Genomic DNA, 17,963 nt, shown 5'->3' on the forward strand with positions numbered 1-17,963 from the left:
ACTGGGGGAAGAGAAAAGACTGAAGTCGATGTATTGACATTTGCCAGGCACAGTGGTGCACTCCTGTAATCTCAGCTACTCGGGAAGCTGAGGCACGAAAATCACTTGAACCTGGGAGGCGGAGGTTTTGGTGAGCTAAGATCACACCACTGCACTCCAGCAACTGTATCGCAAAAAAAAAAAAAAAAAAAAAAAAAAGTCACTGCTTCTCTCAAGGCACTCTCCCCCTCCAGGACCTAGAAACTAATAACTCCTTTTATCCTTTTAGGCCTAATACAGTTATTAGCCTCCAGTTACTGACCTATCCTTTGCCCATACCTTTCAAAATAGCCCTTCATTATTTTGAGAATGTTATTTCCTGTTGGGACCCTGTCTGATACACCTGGTAAAGGTAGGTGATCTTTTCGATTTACAGGCTTCATATTTTATCCATGTACTTGAACCTTACTCTCATACATATAACCTTATATTCTTATGAGCCAACAGTTCTGAAGGGTCAACTGCTGGATTAAGTAGCAGAGAGTGACGCATACCTGTGTGGTTCTCATGGATGGGACAGTGACATCAAGGAGTTAAAAACCTGAGAGACAATAATATCTCAGGCCCCTGTGACTTAGCCCCCAAAGAACCCAAGATGCTGAACAGCTTTTCAAGCTCTGTGACTGTGGAACCTTCTGTGATTCAAGTCCCCAAAGCCTTACACAAACTGATGGAATCTGTCTGCTGGGGCCCTGGTTTCTCCATAACCTCCCAGGATGCCTCTGAGAAATCAGCTTAGAAATCCCTGAGGATGATGATGCTATCCTCCCGTTGGCACATTCTGGTTTTCCTAAAGACAAAAACTGAGCTAATGGTATGATTTTTTAAAAAAGAGTATTAGCAGATTCCTTGAGGTCATATTTATCCTTCTATTGTCAGGGATAATTTACTTTAATTCATCCTCTTAATTTATTATTCACTACTCTCTATCAGGGAGAGGTATCTGTATTAATGAACTGCATACTTGGTAGAAGTCTGCTTTATTTTGGGCAAATCATTTTCCCACAAAGCACTTAATTTAAATATATATATTTATACGGTACTTTACAAATCCCTGTTGCCATATGTTCTTTCCATTCCTTACCAAAAAAACAGCCTCAAAGATGTTGGTTGAATTGCCAAGGTCACATAGAAAACAAGAGGTAGAGACCCAGGACTGTTGCTCTCACTGCAACATAGTTACTTCTGTTAGCTCTGAGAGTTCAGTTTAGATACTCTTTGGCTAAAGAAGTCACCATAGTGATAAATACTAATAAAAGAACATATTTTATAATTAAACTACAACCAGGACTTTAACCTATAAATTACTGCTGCCTGCAAAGAATTACAAGATTAAATTTCCATTGTATATATCTCTCTTTTAGGTCTATATTTAAACCTTAGGATCATTTACCCTTTTTGTTTGTGACCACCTTCAAGGCAAGAACTATATTTGAGTTTTGTCCCTCAGAGGACTGTGAAAGGCTGCAGCCTTGAAACTTTTCCTTGTCCTTCAAAATTTCGGTTTGAAGAGGATAATGAAGTCAAGTGACTGGATTCTCTACTCCTTCCTTGCTTGCTTTCCTCCAGTATCTAGGAAACTAGCACTGGCCCCGAGGCACCTTGGTTTAAGTAAGGCACCCCATACGGGAAAAACTGAGACCTAAAGGACCACTTCAACCTGGTGAAACAAGCGCCAAGCAAAAAGAGGTCAGACTCTGGAGGACAACCAAATTTGGCCAGACAAGCTTAACTGAAATGGAAATAATGTTCAGAGGGCATTAAAAAACCCTGGGGGTAAAATCTATAGGTGAAAATTATAAGGATACAAAGGGAAAGGGATTGCCTAGTGAAAGCAGATCGCAAAGTTAGGAATAGGAATAGCCTATGCGTGAGTTTGAAGGAATTACTATCTCACAAGATACCATGCCTTCGCCTTTAGAAAGCGTTTTCACATTCTGGTACTTGAGCTTCTCAACCCCATTTTTCAGATGAACAAATGGAGGCTCCGGGCGGAGTTCTGACCAGTCATGATCACAAGTAATAAAGCGCGGAACTAGGAACAAGTTCAGGCTTCCCCAAATTGTTCTCAGCAGTTTCCCGCCGAGGACATTTAGGTAGCAAACGGGAAGGGGACTGGTGAGGCTTCCTTAGCAGCAAGAGTTGGCCCGACCCCCAGGCGGAGCCAGCGGGAGAATGTGGGGCTCGAACTGGGCGGACATTGCAGCCACGCGGGGGTGAAAAACCCGATTTGTAAATTCGCACCAGCTGCCTCCTGCGTTAGGCCTTAAAGCGTTGTTAGCGAGGGTGGTGGGCGGTGCAGGTGGTCCTGTTCGTCCCTCTCATTGGTGCCGGGGATAACGGACAGGTATCCGCAGCCAGTCCCAACCGGAGCAAAGGGAGCTTCACGACAGCTACACGCTACCTGGTCCTGAGCGCGCGGAGCTTGAGCGCGGCGGCGGCTTCTTGGGGGGTGGCTAAGCGTGCGTGTGACGCCGCGCACGCTCTCGTCCCCCGTCCCGCTCCTTAAGTAAGAGCCGGGGGCAGACCCTTGCCTCCAACAGGGACGAATACTTTGCTGTTTTTTGTAGCCTACCCCTCATGCAACCCAAAATCTGCCAGACAAATTCTCCTAAGGACAAGATTTTCTGATGTGGAACTTCAAGTAACGTACACTGCAGCTTCATTTTATTTCTCAAAAAATTCCCTCCGCCGCCCCATCCCATAGACTAGGCCTTTAAGAAAGTCCCTCTTACCTCGATCTGGAAACGAGCTCCGAGGGCCTTCCCCAGCCTCAACTAAACTTTACCGGGGTCCCCCTGGCCCTGGCTCACCTCGACACCGTTAATTCGCTCGTCTCCTTTAGGAAACCTTTCCAGACTGCCCCCCGGCGGGACCGCAGCCATCCCATTACCCGGGAGAGCCCAGGGCCCAGATGAAGGCAGAGAGCGAGGGCGCCCAGAGCGAGCCGACCGACTGCCGCCCTCCCCCGCCCGAGTGAAGTCAGGCAGTGGCTGCAGACACGGCTGTATTGGGAAGCGGAGGCTCCTACACAGTAGGAGAGGCACGTCCCAGACCCAGAAGGCCCGAGGACTCTGGACACAGCGCGCGCGGCCCGCCCGGGGCACAGTCTCTGGGGGAGCCCCGAGGGGCGAGTTAAGGCAGCTTGGCTGGAAGGGAGCGGGGAGTGGGAGTCCGCCAGCTCCCCCTGAAATGCTGGCTCACTGAGGAGACGGGCTTCTCACCTCCCACTCTTCTGTCGAGGACAGGGGGAAAGACAGTCAATAAATAAACCCGAGGCGAAAAGGGGCCTCGGGAGACTCTGCGAGTCGGGAAGGCTGGAGGTGCGGGGCGAGGGGGCGGTGAAACGTCCTGAAGAGCGTCCAGCTCGTGGCCGAGAGGACTCGGGCGCTCCCCACGCTGGAGGCCGTGGGCCGCTCCCTTTAAAAGTTGAAACGGCCGCCGTTCGGGACGGCCTGGCGGGAGGAGGGCCCGACGAGGGGAGGCTTCAGGGACAACTGGGGCTTCTCGACGTCCACCCTTTTCAGGGCGCGGCCCCGGTAGCCCTCGGGCCGGCCCAGGTACAGGAGGTGCTTCCCGGGACCCCCGGAGTACCTGGAGGGACCTCCCGAGGGGACTCGAGTGAGCAGGGCAGGGGGGGCCCGGTGGCCGGAGAAAGGCAACCTCCGGCCTCCGCCGACGCCCAGCCGGGGAGCGGGGGCGGAGAGCGCGGGCCGGGCGGGGGCAGAGGCGCACCTGCCCTCGGGGGGCACGTCCAGCCTCAGCGGCGAGGCGCACTCGTGGGGCCTGGGGCTGGGGCCGCCCAAGAGGGCGGGGGCGGGCTCCGGCGGGAGCGCCCGCGAGGTTAAAGGGGCGGGGGGCTCGGCCCCCTTTCTGGGCGGCTGCGGGCCGTGCAGGTAGCGCAGCAGTTCCTCCAGGGTGGTGACTTCCACGGCCTGCCCGGGACAGCCGGGCGGCGGTGGCCTCACCAGCACGCGGGGCGCGGGCCCGCCCGCCGCGTGCCCGCCCCGTGAGCGGCCCGGACCCTCCTTGGCGTTGTTCCTGTTCTGGTTCCACTCCCAGGGGTCCCCGGCGGCGCGGAGGTGCTTGACCGGCAGCTCCGGCGTGGACTCGGGGGTGGGCAGGCAGGCCAGCTCCGGCGGGGGCACGCCCTCCGGAGGCGGCAGGAAGGTGGTGTAGAGCTGCGGCGTCTGCACCGCGTCCCCGTCCTTGGAGGGCGGCGGGGGCTCTGGGCCCCCACCGTGGAGCCGGGCCAAACTGCGGAGGGAGAGAGGGCGCGGGAGCCCCGGAGTCTCGATGTCCTTGCCCCGACGTCGGTGGGCGCGGCGACAAGCACAGGAGACCAGGAGGCCAGAGACTGAGGCGCCCAGGGCAAAAGCTGCGGCCACACTGGCCAGGAGGAGTGGGATGGGGACGGAGCGGGAGGCCGAGGCTGGGGGCAGGTCCCGGCGCACGCCTGCCGACCGAGAGGGAGGAGGGAGGCTCAGCCAAGGGGAGGCGGTGCGGGGTACCTAGGCCCAGAGGCGCCGGCAGTTCCCAGGCCTGACATCATCGTCCCTCCCGCTGCTACTCAGCCTCACTCCTACAGCCTCCACCATCCTCAGGATTCACCTCTCCTGACTCCTCAGCATACAGCCCACGCACTACCCCTCACACTCAGGCCAGAGCTTGGGCCTGGGGATTCCCCATCCCACTTCTGGCCCCTGTAGCCATGCCAAGAGCAACTGCCAAAAACTGCTCGTGCAGGAGAACTCGGGGCTGGGATGCCCAATTCTGGGGAAGGGAGGCTCCAAACAGGCGTTAGTGAGCACCAAACACCATTCAGTGAGGGGCTTAGAACGCTCCGAGAATCAGCAGCCCCACACTTCACTCCTATCTCTCCCAAGTAGCCCCCTTACCCCGAGTGTGAACTCCAAGAGTGGAAGACTGGGGCCGGGGGTGGGCATCACTGGGAGGACTGGGGGTCCCAGGGGAAGGGCCAGGACCCGGAAGCACTGGTGGCAGAGACCAGGTCAGAGCCAGTGAGGCTCTTGATCTCTACCCCTGACACCCTTCCAGGGGTCCTTCCTCCCTCCTGTGGAACCCAGGAGTCCAGAACGCCAGCCTCTAGTTTCTTCTGGGCCTGGGGAAGGGCTCATCATGCAGGACATTGATTTATTTGTTCAAAAAGTACCCTACTGTGTGCCAAGTACTGAGCTACATGCTGGGTATCTGGAGGATGCCGACCCTTTTCCGATACTCCCAGGGTATTCAGAATGCTGCTCTGCTGCTGCTACAGGACACACACTCAGGTATGTGGGCTGAGCAAGGGAAGGTGAGGTTGGGACAAGAGGACTCACCATAAGCAGAATCCCCAGGGCCAGACTGACTCCCAGTAGCTCCATCTATGAAGAAGGGACAGGGTGAAGATGGGGGGAAAGAGAAGCTTCATGAAGAACTGATGGGGTGACTGTGCCACAGAAGGAGAGAAGGACAAAAGGCCAAGCCTGGGATGGTGTCTGTGGCCATCATGGCCATGTGCAGCTTTGGCTGCAACAGCAGCTGCCTCTTCTGTTTACCTTGGCAGTCACCATGCTCCATGGATTCCTGGTTCCCAGCCTGATCCACATCAGTCCTAGGAGGAAAACGAAGTGGCTATAGAATTCTGTACGTTGTCCGTATCTCCCACTCTGGCCCTCAGCTTGTCTTATTGGTGGGGAATTTTATGCTCAGGAAACCCAAGGACCCATCACTTACCCACCAGATCCCCTGATATCCACACAGCCCCTGGAGCTATGCCATCCACAGTATGGGTCCTGAGAAGCCAAACAGCTCCTAGGGAAAACGGAGGTGTGTGAGGCTGGATCCCTTTCTACTCCAGTCACTTTCCATTCTGCTGCCTTTTCCCACCCTGGCTTACAGGAGGCTCCCAGCCTCATTCTCTCCTGTCCACCTCAGTCTCTCCACACCCTGGTTGCTGCCCACCTTCAGAATGCTTGAGGTACCTAGGCACCCCACAGCCATCCCCTGTGTTTTCCTGCCACCCCAAAGACCTGTGTTTCTGTGCTCTTGCTGGCCCGGGGAGCTTGCCCACACAGGGCCTGGCCTCAGGCCCCTCTCACCTCTGACAGGCCCCATGCCGGGCACACCGGCTGAGAGGGAGGTAGACAATACAGCCAGAAAAAGCCACAAAAAGCCTGTGACCCTCAGTGTCCAGCTCCAGCCCTATGATCCGTCGTGCTGTTTGGGCTGTCCGCTTCCCACTGCACCTAGGGTGAGGCCAGAAGGAACCAGAGATGGACAGATGAGGCTACCTTTTCCCTGAGTGAGTGGAAGAACAGAAAGCGGGGAGGCACACAAGCAACTGAGCACAACCCATGGAGCTGCCCCGCCCTACCACACTGTCCAGTCTTCTCGCCAAGCCTGTCTAGCCCAGAGCTCCCACCCTGCAAAAGCCAATGTTGATGTTTCCAACCTATTCCCGAATCTGCAGCTGCTACCTCCCATCCCCTCCCTGCTTTGCAGGGGGCCTGCCCTCCAAAGGCCTCACCGGGCAGGGCTGTAGGCATCAATCTCTTCCAGGAGGATGGGCTCAGGTCCCCCGGATCGCCCACCTGGGGTCAGCACCTTCAGCACTGTCCCATCATTGGAGCCAAGGAACATGACTGTGATGTTACTGTGGGGACCAGCCATGCCATCCACAGCTACTTGGGTCAGTAGGGCCCTGGAGGAAAGGGCCTCAGGTCAGGGAACCTGTCTAGTGGAAACCTGAGCATTTCAGGGAGAGCCCAACTGCCTTGGTAGCTGTGCCTGTGCCCTTCCCCCAGGCCCCAGGGTTGCCTTCTTAGCTCTCTCCCTTCTACTTTCACAAGTTCTTCCTCCCACCAATGCGGTTTACCTTGTTGGGTCAAAGAAAGAGGAGGGTGGCTGAGAACAGGGAGGCAGTGGTCAGTGTTTTTCAGCCCCATACCTGCTAGTGAGAGTGAGTAGAGGCTGATGGGTGACAGGTGGTACAGCGGGGTCCAGCAGCGGGTGAGCCTTGATGAAGGTCAGGACATCATCAGGGAGGTCTCGGGAAGAGGAGAACAAGGCAGCTCCCCCTACTCCTGCACAGGATCCTGGCCTGGTGGGTGAATGGGAAGGGGCTGCCTTTGGACTGGGAGCTGGAGCTTAGTTAACCTCTGTGCCCCCTACTGCTCCCAAACCTGACTGGAAAGCCTTGCTCCCCCTCCACACAGACACTCGTAGCACTGTCCCCTTCCCTGCCGCAGCTCTTCGGCCCCACTGCCACCCCACTATAGCTCCCCACCCTGAGGCCTTGGACATCTCATTACCTCCTCACAATCCCATCTTGGGGGCAGACGCTGCTTGCTTCTGCCCCCACAAAAACAACTCCATCCTGGGTACCTGGGTGAGGGAACTCTGTCCTCAGACACAGGAGTCCAGGCCCCATCCAGACTCCTCTGCTCCTTGAACTTGCCCTCAAACCCACGCTCAATCTCATCCAGGTAGAAGGCGCAGACGGCAGAGCCAGGGATGCTGGAGGAGCCAGAAAAGATGCAGGATAGGTGCTGAAAGGAACTGCACAACTTCCCCCAGGAAGAAGTGGTGGCACCCTTCATACCACATTAAGAGATAGAGACTGAGGAGGTGGGGCAGCCACTGGGTGCCACACTAGGAGAAAAAATGGCAACACAGCAAACTGGCTTTGTTCGGAGGTTCCCTTAACTGCCCCATCAGTAGGCTGTGAAAGGGGAGTTTGGAGGCTGGTGAGGCAGGGGACAGATTGGGTCACACTAGTCAGCCTAGTACCAACCTATTGGTCTGGGTGGTGAAGACCCCAAAGAGAGCAGAGCGGCCATGCAGGTTCACAGGCCCAGTCAAGGCCTGTAAAACATCAAAATAGAAAGTAGAGTCCCCAGGGACAGAGCAGTTGAGCCGAAGCTTCAGGAAGGATGTCCAGTGGCGGTCCAAGGCCCGAGGCGAGCCGCCCATGTCACGTTTACATACTCGGGCTACGCGGGAGAACTGCACCTAGGGGAGGAGAGTGGAGTAGACAATGGTGAGACAGACCCACAGGGCCAGCTGCATGCAAGGAGTGTGGTGAGTTAAGAGCAGTAAGGGGCTGGGCGCGGTGGCTCACGCCTGTAATCCCAACACTTTGGGAGGCTGAGGTGGGTGGATCACGAGGTCAGGAGATCGAGACCATCCTGGCTAACATGGTGAAACCCCATCTCTACTAAAAATACAAACAAATTAGCCGGGCATGGTGGTGGGCACCTGTAGTCCCAGCTGCTCGGGAGGCTGAGGCAGGAGAATGGCGTGAAGCCAGGAGGCGGAGCTTGCAGTGAGCCAAGATGGCGCCACTGCACTCCAGCCTGGGCGACAGAGCAAGACTCCGTCTCAAAAAAAAAAAAAAAAAGAGCACCAAGGGAGCAATGTGAGGGGCACAGTGAATGAAGGGTATGGCATGGTAGGTCAACTTGGGTCAAGGGTGAGGGACAAGCAGGATGTGGGGTCAGAGGGCTTGGGGCTATTCCAAGTTGAGGGGTGAGAGTCCAGGGGATTGCTTTGTGGAGATTATGGTCAGGAGATCTCCTCCCACTCAGACTGGCTCCTCAGGATCCAGCAGAACCCTCCAGCTACCCACCCTGATGCCCACCTCCTTACCCTCCCCAGCCGAGCATCCTCCACAGAGACCTCGCGGAAGAAGAAGTAGACATGGTCTCCATGCTCCAAGGCCTGGACAAAGTGTGGCTCTAAGATGGGGAATGACAGGAAAGGGTATAGAAGAGTATCTGTACCTGCTCAGAAGCTCCTGGCCCCACACCGCTCTCCCCATTGCATACATACACACTACCACACCATTTGCCTGCTCCCCGCCACAGTCCTCCCTCTGTGCCTCCTCCCCAATAACAGTCTCCTTTCCCCAGGCCCGCCCTGACCTCGGAGCCACTTGGAGTCATACTTGGCGGAGCGGAGTGGGGGCTGGGGCCCAAGGCTTCTGTAAACTACAGCATCACTGGCCTGGAAATCCGCAGCTGTGGCTGAGTACAGGCTGCCCTCTGGAGGGATGGGTGGAGTGGGGTCAGGGGAGGGCTCAGGGATCTGTATCCTGCCTCTTCTTGGGCCTCCTGCACCCCTACCTAGGCCTGGCCCTGGTCCCTACCTCAACCCTCCACTCAGGGGAATGGGGGAAAGACCCACTGGGAGAGGAGCTAAGGTGGGAGCTCCCTCCAGCCACATGCTTTCTTCTCACATGCCCAGTTGCACACCTGCAAAGATGGCCACGTTGGACTGGGTGGCATCAAAGGGGCATCGAGCCTGCCCACTCAGTTCCTCACCCTCCTGCTGCAGCGAAGTTATCTGAGGGCAGAGGGAGCAGATGCCTGGAACCTTTAGGGTCTTGGAGTCTGGCTCCATAGCCTATTCCCTCCTGTCCCGTTGCCTCCTCCCCAACCCCTCTGGACCCTTGCATTCTGGGCACTCCCATTCCCCAACCGCAGTCCTTGGTCCTTTCCCATCAAACCCATTGCCCATCTTGGGGTCCCCCCAACTCCCATCCTAACCCCCACCCTCTCTTTTGTACCCCATAGCTGCGGCACACAGGGCTGAATGAGTTCGTTCCACAGGCAAGGAGCGTCTGGGAGTCCCAGGGAACAAGAACACGAATATAGTTGTAGCACTCATCCTAGAGAACCCAAAATTCTAGGTCAGTGACAGAGGGTCCTGGGACTGAGAACAGGAGGTAATAGAAAGGTGGGCTTACAGGGCGGGCGTGGTGGCTCACGCCTGTAATCCTAGCACTTTGGGAGGCCAAGGTGGGCAGGTTGCCTGAGTTCAGGAGTTCAAGACCAGCCTGGGCAACACGGTGAAACCCCATTTCTACTAAAATACAAAAAATTAGCTGGGTGTAGCAGCATGTGCCTGTAATCCCAGCTACTTGGGAGGCTGAGGCAGGAGAAATGCTTGAACCACGGAGGCGGAGGTTGCAGTGAGCCAAGATCGTGCCATTGCACTCCAGTCTGGGCAACAGACTGAGACTCCGTCTCAAAAAAAAAAAAAAAAAAAGAAAAGAAAAGAAAGAAAGGTGGGCTACTCCTCTGGAGCCCAACAGAGCAATGTGAGATAAAGTCCCAAATAAGCTGTTTGCTGGCCCTCTGGCCTTCTGCAAATCCTTTGGCCTCTCTGAGCCTCACTTTTCTTTTTTGTGAGGCATGTAAGAGAAACTGAAAATCAGGAATTCTCTTTCCTTCTCATTTTCCCCTGTGGCCTGGGATGGAAAAAGTGTGAAGGAAATTGGGCATAGTAGAGGACCAGTTGGACAGAGACTGGGGGCAGAGTAATCCTCTCCTTCCCTCCACATTCTCGTCTCACTCCTTACCGTCAGCTTTCCCCGTACAGCACAGTTCTCCACATCTTGGCTTCTCCATGTTAGATACTGAAGGGATAAGTTGAAGAGGGAAAATCATGGGCAACTGGGTTCCCTCCTCACATTATGGCTCCTTTTAGATTCTTCTTCCCACCCACCTGACCCACATTAGACCTTTCCCAGCCTCATCTCCACGTCTGCACCTCTTCCCACACAGCCCCTCACCTTGTTGGGCACCAGCCCCTCCCCTTCTTCTTCGGCTTGAAGATCGAAGGAGAAAACGTGATCCCTGAGGGGGTAGGTAAGGAGGGGTCAGAGCCTAGTCAAGGCACCCCACTTTACCCACAGTCAGCTGTTCAGGGACAAACAGTGCAGACCTTCTGGCCCTCCCCTTCCCCCTTCCTCCATGCCTTGGCATTTGTGCTCTGGGTCCAAGCATGTCCACACCCCGTGGCTTGTGCACCTGCATGTGTCCCCTGCAAGATGCTACAGTGGCCATACAGGTCCCAAGTCTGCCCAGGAGCATGCATGTCTGCCCCACAACTGTGCCACGGCCAGTTTACCGGGCAGCCACTAGCAAGGTCCGGTTCAAGGTCAGGAATCTCTGAAAGTCCAGCCCAAGTTCTGCAGCCACAGCATCATCCTCCAGGCCCCGAAACCAGGATAATGGGGAAGTACCTTGAGGACACAGAGAGATAGGATTCTGAGGATACCACAAACTTCCCCAACACCCTCTCCAACCAGATGAAACCCAGCAGTGGACACAGTGGATGTGTGAGGTTAGAGTGCCCAAAAGCTATTCTTAATACCAATAACACTGAGTACTTAATCTCTGCCAAACACAGTGTTAGCACTTTACACGCATTGTCTCATTTAATACATGGTCCTATGAGGTAGCTTTGGCCCCATTTTACAGATGAGGAGCCTGAGACTAGAAGCCATTTAGGAATTTGCTCATTTAGCTGGGAAGTGGCAGGTATCAGGATTCAGATCCAGGTCTGTCTGCCTCTGGAGTTGAGCCTAGTCCCTTCTTGGAACTGCCTTAGGGCTAGCAATTTCCTTTCACTCCCACCTTGTGCACTGTCCCACTGGAGCATTTATTCACTCCGTTTCTCCCAGCCCTCTGCACCCTCCCCTCAAGGCTCTTCACAGGCCACCTCAGCCCTCCAAGGTTTCTGCCTCCTCTGACCACCTCACCTCCAGCATCCACCTGGCCTGATCGTGGTGGAAACCACAGTCATCAGTGGTCAAAGGATAGCCAGAGTTCAGGGATAAATGATTTAACATTTATAATGTGCTCAGCTGGGAGCGGTGGCTCACGCCTGTAATCCCAGCACTTTGGGAGGCCGAGGCGGGCGGATCACAAGGTCAGGAGATCGAGACCATCCTGGCTAACATGGTGAAACCCCATCTCTACTAAAAATACAAAAACAAAATTAGCCAGGCGTGGTGGCGGGCGCCTGTAGTCCCAGCTACTCGGGAGGCTGAGGCAGGAGAATGGCGTGAACCCAGGAGGCGGAGCTTGCAGTGAGCCGAGATCACGCCACTGCACTCTAGCCTGGGCAACAGTGCAAGACTCCGTCTCGAAAAAAAAAAAAATTCATAATGTGCTTGGAGCTGCTTCTAGCACATAGGAGTGTTTGCTATTCTTATATATCCCTCAACAATTACTCTCAGTAACCCAACTGCAGCTCCTCTATCCTTAAAATTACTCTAAATCCTACAAATATAACCGGAACTGCAAATAGATAAAGGTTCTTCTCAGAAAAAGTGGGTTTATGCTTTCTATCATGGTGGGCTTATTGGTGGGTGGTACCAGTGGTAGAGAGGCGAGTAAGAGGTGTTGGGAACCACTGAACTAGTATTAGACCTTCTCTATGTAGCTAAGAATAACAGGAAACACATATAAAGCATTTACTTTGTGCCATACAGTCTTCTCAGCACTTTACATGTATAACCTCATTTAATCCCTAAATAATTCCATGAGGTAGAAGACTTTTGTTTTTTGTTTTTTGAGACGGAGCTTCACTCTTGTTGCCCATGCTAGAGTGAAATGGCGCGATCTCGGCTCACTGCAACCTCCGCCTCCTGGGTTCAAGCAATTCTCCTGCCTCAGCCACCCAAGTAGCTGGGGTTACAGGCACACGCCACCAAGCCTGGCTAATTTTTTGTATTTTTAGTAGAAACGGGGTTCCACCATGTTAGCCAGGCAGGTCTCGAACTCCTGACCTCAGGTGATCCGCCTACCTTGGCCTCCCAAAGTGCTGGGATTACAGGTGTAAAGCCACCGTGCCCAGCTGACTTTTTTTTTTTAATCGGCTTTTTTTTTTTTTTTAAAGAGATGGGATGGGGGTTGGGGGGTGGGATGACTCTGGCTGTGTTGCCCAGGCTGGACTGCAGTGGCTATTCACAGGCGCCATCACAGAGCACTACATCCTGGGCTCAAGTGATCTTCCTGCCTCAGCCTCCTGAGTACCCACCACTGGCTCAGAATACTATTATATTCATTTTACAGCTGAGGAGACTGAGACAAAGAAAGGTTAAGTAACTTAACCAAGGTCACACAGCTAGTGAGCAGCTTGGCAGGGATTCAAACCTGCTAAGGTTTGGTCTAGCTGAGAGTCCATGTTCTTTTTTTTTTTTTTTTGAGACGGAGTCTCGCTCTGTTGCCCAGGCTGGAGTGCAGCGATATCCGCTCACTGCAAGCTCCGCCTTCCGGGTTCATGCCATTCTCCCGCCTCAGCCTCCCGAGTAGCTGGGACTACAGGCGCCCGCCACAATGTCCGGCTATTTTTTTTTGTATTTTTAGTAGAGATGGGGTTTCACCGTGTTAGCCAGGATGGTCTCAATCTCCTGGAGAGCCCATGCTCTTAACCTCCACACGATGCTGCCTCTAAGTGAAGAAACCAGGCCCAGGGATGAGAAGCAGCTGGCAGGAGGTGTCAGCTCACTCTACCTGTTTCCTTCTTTTTGCTGGTCTGGCTGTTAGCTTCCTGAGGCTGGGAGCCTTCCTGCACCTTGCCTCCCACACAGGGGGTCTCAGTCTCTAATTGTTCACAGAGATGGGGCAAGGTAGGTACTGGGCACTCACCTTGAAGGTCAGAGATCAACAGAGGGAGGGGGTCCTGGGGAAAGGCGGCCTGAGTATGGGGAAGTGAGAGCAGCAGCAGCAGTAGCAGCAAGGGCATGAAGTGGGGGGCACGGGGCATCCTGTGCGGGGCAGCTCAGGCCCCAGGGGGTGCCCCCTCACCCATAAGCCGGCCCTGAAAGGGGAGACAGGGAAAAGTGGGGGAGGAGCGAAGTTCCCTCTCCCCTGAAGCAAGCCAGCAGGCTCCTCTCCTGGTGTATCCCCAGAAGACCCTGTGGGGTGGGGGAAAAGAACCCTCTCTCCAGCACTGCCCCAGTTCCAGCCAGCTGTCATTGTCACTCAAGGCCCTTCCCTCTGCAACTGGCCCAAACTGGCTGGTGTGAGGCCTGCCTGCATGACCCCAGGTAAGGACAGGACACACCCACCCCCATCTCAGCTTTTCCTCTTCTCTCCTGACTGGGTCTGGGACATTCAGTAGGTGACACCTCCTGGCCCCCCTCTTGCTAACCCCTTCTCAGCTATAATTAGAGACTGAAGCCTTAAAATTATAAATAGTGACTCCTTGGCACTGGGAGGAGGAAAAGGGCACCATGTCTGACTCCCCCTCCCTCCCAGACCCCCACGGCACCCTGGGAGCAATGCAGGCACTGCGCCTAGGCGGGGGCAGCCGTGTGGCTGACACTGTCCTTTCTAGAGTTGAGGAAGACACAGTTGGGGGAGGCAGCCTAGAGGTCACTGTGCTGGTCTAAGCTCATGCTTCAGGGGCCCTTCCCACCGCTAGGGAAGAACTGAGTAGGGAGGAGAGTTGGTGGGGGGGACTGTCTTCGCCAAAAATGAATCTGCATCAAAGCCAGATCAGAGGCTAAATTTAGCTCTGGCTGCAGCTGTCTGCCCGACCACTGTGCCACCCCCTCCAGGCTCTCTAGCCCCCTGCTCCTTCCCTGGCTCCTAAGAACCAGTGCATGTACTTGAGGGGGGAAGAGCAGACCCACCCCCTATGAGAAGCCAGGGGTACAAGGGACTAGTGAAGCAAAATGGCTAAACGTGCGCCTCTCTCCCTTCCTTCCCTCATCTGCTGCCTCTGAAATTAAAATATAAATTATTCAGTGACAGGCAGGTAATTGTAGCCCAAAGTCCAGGAAAAGATGGATATGGTGGAAGAGATGGTGAGACAGGTCTCCTTCCACCATCAGCCTCCCTCAGCCAAATGACCCTGGCTGGGGCCCACAGCAGGAGGTATACACCAGCTTCCTGCCTTCCCCTAAAATTGAAGTGAGGGACTTGGTCGGCTCCAAAAATCAGGTCAAGAAGGGTGAGACTCCTTTCTTTTGTGAACAGATAACTATCCTTCACCAATCCTTAGTTGCCCATCCCACCGTGTCCCCTAAAACAGACCCTAAGCTTCCAGGCCAAGCCCCCTTCCATCTCCCCAGTAATTCTACTCTCCCAGCCAGGACCCAAGTGTCCCCCCACCCCCAATCCAGCATCACTGGTGGGGAGGCTGACGTCAGGTGGGGCCTCAAGAGAGCTGAAGAAAGGAAAAGAGTAGGAACACCTAATGATGACCCCCCTTCCCCAGGGCAGAGTAGCAGCTAGCTAACGACCCTCTGGTGTTGAAAGGCTGGGCCTTCCTCCCTCCCCCGACATGTTTCCGGATACTGTTGTTCCCAGGGGAAGAGAAAGGGACGTAGCTTGTCTCTCATCCTCCCCAACCTGCTCTCCCCACCACCCCCCTGCCTCCAAGTTGCCCTGAGCAACTGGTATCTTCACCCTGGAAACAACTTTGGTCTCTGGCAAGTGAGGAGAAGAGCCAGCCCCTCTTTCTGCTCCCTGCTCATGCCTGCTTCCACCCCCTGCCCTCAGGAGCTGCTGCCCTTTCCTTACCTGGGTTGGTGACTCCTGTGGGGGCTTGAGGGGGATAGGAAACCTCTGACCTGATGGAAGACAGGACAAAGGAGAGAAGAGACTGCATTATGCTCCCCTTACCACATCCCTTACAAGTAAATGTAAAAATTCAAGAAAAGTCTGCTGACGCTTGGGTAGGGGAGATGCTGCCTTGAAAATGGGAGGGGGCTGATGACACTTCTTAATAGTTTGGTTACAAAGGTGCTGGTGGCTTTATGCCCAGAGATGCAGGGGAAGGGGATGGCCCCTTTCTAGAAACTGCTAGAACTACAGGGCTAGCCTTGGCAAAGGGGGTCACTGGGAGAGTTTGTGGGGCATGGCGACCACTCCCATGTTAAGGCCCTCAGAATCCAACAGCCTTCTTAGCAAAAGCGCCTTAGCTAGGGACAATAGAGGCTAATTTGCATCTCATTTACATGCTCTTCATTTCCAGGCAAAATGATCTGATAGCAAGCACCCTCAACCCTTTCCTTCCTCCCTGAGAGAGCAGGCTGTGCCTCCCTTCCACTCAGTCTACACACACACACACTCACACCCCACTTTAGGCTGGATTAGTCCAGCCTCTACAAACACTTGGCTGGCCTTTGCATTGGCCTTCTAGACTCAACTATGATACACCTTTAAGAGGGCTTCTTGTAGCTGTTTCTGGGAAGCAGCATCTGGTCAGCTCCTCAACTCCTGGCCTGGAGAAAAGATCACTCTGCCCTGGAAGAATCCGAGCTGCTTCACACACCCCATCTGAAGCACATGGGAGAGACCTGGCCGACTCTCCCCTTTCCAGATCCTCCCGTTGCTGGGAAGAGGAAACAGCCCTTCTCTCTCCTGGCCCCGAAGCCACCTCTGGGGAATGGCTGGGGTCACAGCCAGAGTCTAGGAGAGCTGTGGAAGGGATGGAGAAGGGGAGACTGGGCTGGGGACAATAGCAGGAAGCCTTTGGGCTGGTCGCCCGCCCCAGTCCACCTTCCTCAGAGGGAGCAGGGTCGCGCCAAGGAGCCTGTGGAACCGGAGCTTTCCTTTCTCCAAGCCATTTCCCCCACTCTTAGCTCTTAGCCCCACACTCAGCACCTACCCTCCTTCCCACCCAACCCCCAACCAGGACAATCCAGGTGTCTAAAGCCTCGAAAAGAGGTGGGCCTAGGGCCAGGGGCTCGACCTGTCTCCCCCTCACCGGATCCGGGGCTCCGAGGAGGGGCCGGTAGCAGAGTCTGGGCCGGGACCGGGTCCCAGAGCCACGTTAGCGAGAGGAGGGGCTGGAGGGGCCTGCAGGCGCAGACGAAGAGGGGATAGGAGCGGGGGTTGGGGAGCGGAGGCGGGTCTCCCAGGCCAGGGAAACAGGGCCAGAGGCTGAGAACCGACGAGGGCGGGCCTGAGGCCGGCGCTCAGTGGGGACCGTGGGCTCAGGAGGCAGTTGCCAGCTCGGATGTCCTCCTTGGGAGACCTCAGTCTAACAAAGCCCCGGGCCGAGCGGGCTGAAGGAAGGAGATAGGCGCTGGGACCGATGTTGCTCGAGGGCCCCATTCGCCGCCTCTTTGCACGAGCCAACCCTTCAGAGGGTGCTCAGATTCCGGCTTGCACAAGGACAGAGGAGCACCCGTGACACAAAGTCCGGAACGATGCGTCCCTCTTCCCATCCCTTCAGGGGCGTCAGGAGGGTCTAGTTCTCCGTGGGTCTCGGAGCCCTAGTTTCCTTGCTGGGAAAGCAAGGGGCCAGGTTTTCCACGCTCTCTACGGAGCGCGCCTCAAATAATCCCTTTTCGCGCTTCCCAGTCCAGCGGGATGCGACTCGACGAAAGCCCAATTGAACGAGGTGCCCAGACTCTGCTCTCACCAGTACAGTTACGGGGCTCGGCCACTGTCCCTCCTTCCTCCCTGCACCCCAATTTCGTTGACCCTCTCCGTCAGCCAGGCACACCGGGCGCCGACACCTCCCTGGTCCCCTAGCGCTTCAGAAGCTTGCCCCCCGCCGGCCGCGCCCTCCTGCTCCCTCCCCGCCTCCCCGCAGCCCCTTCCCTGCCCGGGGTACTTGCTCCAGGATTCGGGTCAGCGGGATCGAGATCGCCGCGGGCGGCCAGCGGCCACGCGCTGCGCTGAGTTCGCAATCCGTGGTTGTGCTCAGGCGAGATGCGATGAGCGTCCGAATTGGATGGTGCTTGAATTTGGGTTCCAGGGCGCTGTCGGGAGAGCCCTGGGTCCAAGTCCAGCCGCGGATCCGCGGAGGAAAACAATGCGACCGCCCGGGGCTCTGGGCTCGGCCCCAGTGGCCCCGCCCGCCTCCCAGCCGGGCCCACCTCCTGCCCGCCTTTGGGTCGCCGCGACTAATCCCGCCCTCGGAGGGCGGCTAGACACCGCCTTCTCGTCACCTCTCCGCCAATAGTGCTGCCCGGGGAGGGGCGCCAGGAGCACCGTCCACCCAGAGGGCCAGGCCGGGAGGCTGAACTGGAGACCAGAGACAGACGCGAGATGGAGAGACCCACGGACAGTCGCCGACACCGGGCAGAGGAAGAAATACATACAGAAGCAGAGACAGGCTGGCACAGGAGAGGCTCTGGGGAGAAATTTCCCAAGAGAGGAAGAGGAGCT

General features: G+C 55.7%; 1 protein-coding gene and 1 long non-coding RNA gene across 14 annotated transcripts, besides 4 other annotated features; one reads left to right on the top strand and one right to left on the bottom strand.

The window, feature by feature from the left end:
• The first annotated feature begins 191 nt into the window (after window positions 1–191).
• On the top strand, window positions 192–1,090 carry LOC124904418 (uncharacterized). Its single transcript, XR_007066619.1, has 2 exons — window positions 192–391; window positions 487–1,090. It is a non-coding gene; the product is annotated as an uncharacterized LOC124904418 (long non-coding RNA).
• Window positions 2,059–2,158: an enhancer, noted in NCBI's record as "active region_1707". NCBI's record gives its function as "activates an Ori minimal core promoter by ATAC-STARR-seq in GM12878 lymphoblastoid cells {active_cell/tissue: GM12878}" and the evidence as "EXISTENCE:reporter gene assay evidence [ECO:0000049][PMID:35858748]".
• Window positions 2,632–3,416: an enhancer, noted in NCBI's record as "H3K27ac-H3K4me1 hESC enhancer chr1:151104130-151104914 (GRCh37/hg19 assembly coordinates)". NCBI's record gives its function as "activates a minimal SCP1, AML or CMV promoter by ChIP-STARR-seq in naive H9 embryonic stem cells {active_cell/tissue: H9 hESC(naive)}" and the evidence as "EXISTENCE:reporter gene assay evidence [ECO:0000049][PMID:30033119]".
• On the bottom strand, window positions 2,663–17,609 carry SEMA6C (semaphorin 6C). Of its 13 annotated transcripts, none has more exons than XM_047431842.1 (21): window positions 17,407–17,609; window positions 16,117–16,262; window positions 15,363–15,412; window positions 13,482–13,653; window positions 10,954–11,068; window positions 10,616–10,679; window positions 10,403–10,459; window positions 9,608–9,709; window positions 9,294–9,384; window positions 8,964–9,083; window positions 8,689–8,777; window positions 7,835–8,052; window positions 7,426–7,557; window positions 6,989–7,141; window positions 6,569–6,742; window positions 6,141–6,287; window positions 5,776–5,853; window positions 5,598–5,653; window positions 5,379–5,423; window positions 4,938–5,033; window positions 2,685–4,495 (listed from the first exon to the last, which is right to left on the bottom strand). In XM_047431842.1, the coding sequence occupies exons 4-21, from the start codon at window positions 13,597–13,599 to the stop codon at window positions 3,462–3,464; spliced, it is 2,889 nt and encodes a 962-aa protein (XP_047287798.1). In that variant the 5' UTR covers window positions 13,600–13,653; window positions 15,363–15,412; window positions 16,117–16,262; window positions 17,407–17,609; the 3' UTR covers window positions 2,685–3,461. The 13 variants fall into 13 exon arrangements, with proteins under 13 accessions (XP_047287954.1, XP_047287798.1, XP_047287732.1 ...); XM_047431776.1 differs by having other exon boundaries at window positions 16,002–16,262; XM_047431793.1 differs by having other exon boundaries at window positions 15,992–16,262.
• Window positions 6,980–7,029: a silencer, noted in NCBI's record as "silent region_1313". NCBI's record gives its function as "represses an Ori minimal core promoter by ATAC-STARR-seq in GM12878 lymphoblastoid cells {active_cell/tissue: GM12878}" and the evidence as "EXISTENCE:reporter gene assay evidence [ECO:0000049][PMID:35858748]".
• Window positions 17,357–17,816: a silencer, noted in NCBI's record as "silent region_1314". NCBI's record gives its function as "represses an Ori minimal core promoter by ATAC-STARR-seq in GM12878 lymphoblastoid cells {active_cell/tissue: GM12878}" and the evidence as "EXISTENCE:reporter gene assay evidence [ECO:0000049][PMID:35858748]".

The sequence above is a fragment of the Homo sapiens genome, chromosome 1 (assembly GCF_000001405.40).
Source record: "Homo sapiens chromosome 1, GRCh38.p14 Primary Assembly".
In the NCBI taxonomy this organism is placed as follows: Eukaryota; Metazoa; Chordata; class Mammalia; order Primates; family Hominidae; genus Homo; species Homo sapiens.

Bases quoted from the DNA above. Each gene is read 5' to 3' on its own strand.
- SEMA6C (NM_001178061.3), bottom strand. From the start codon at position 13,599: ATGCCCCGTGCCCCCCACTTCATGCCCTTGCTGCTACTGCTGCTGCTG. The intron at 9,385-9,607 runs GTACAAAAGAGA...CTCTGCCCTCAG, and splicing joins CTGTGTGCCGCAGCTATGGG to ATAACTTCGCTGCAGCAGGA. The intron at 5,654-5,775 runs GTAAGTGATGGG...TTTTCCTCCTAG, and splicing joins GATATCAGGGGATCTGGTGG to GACTGATGTGGATCAGGCTG.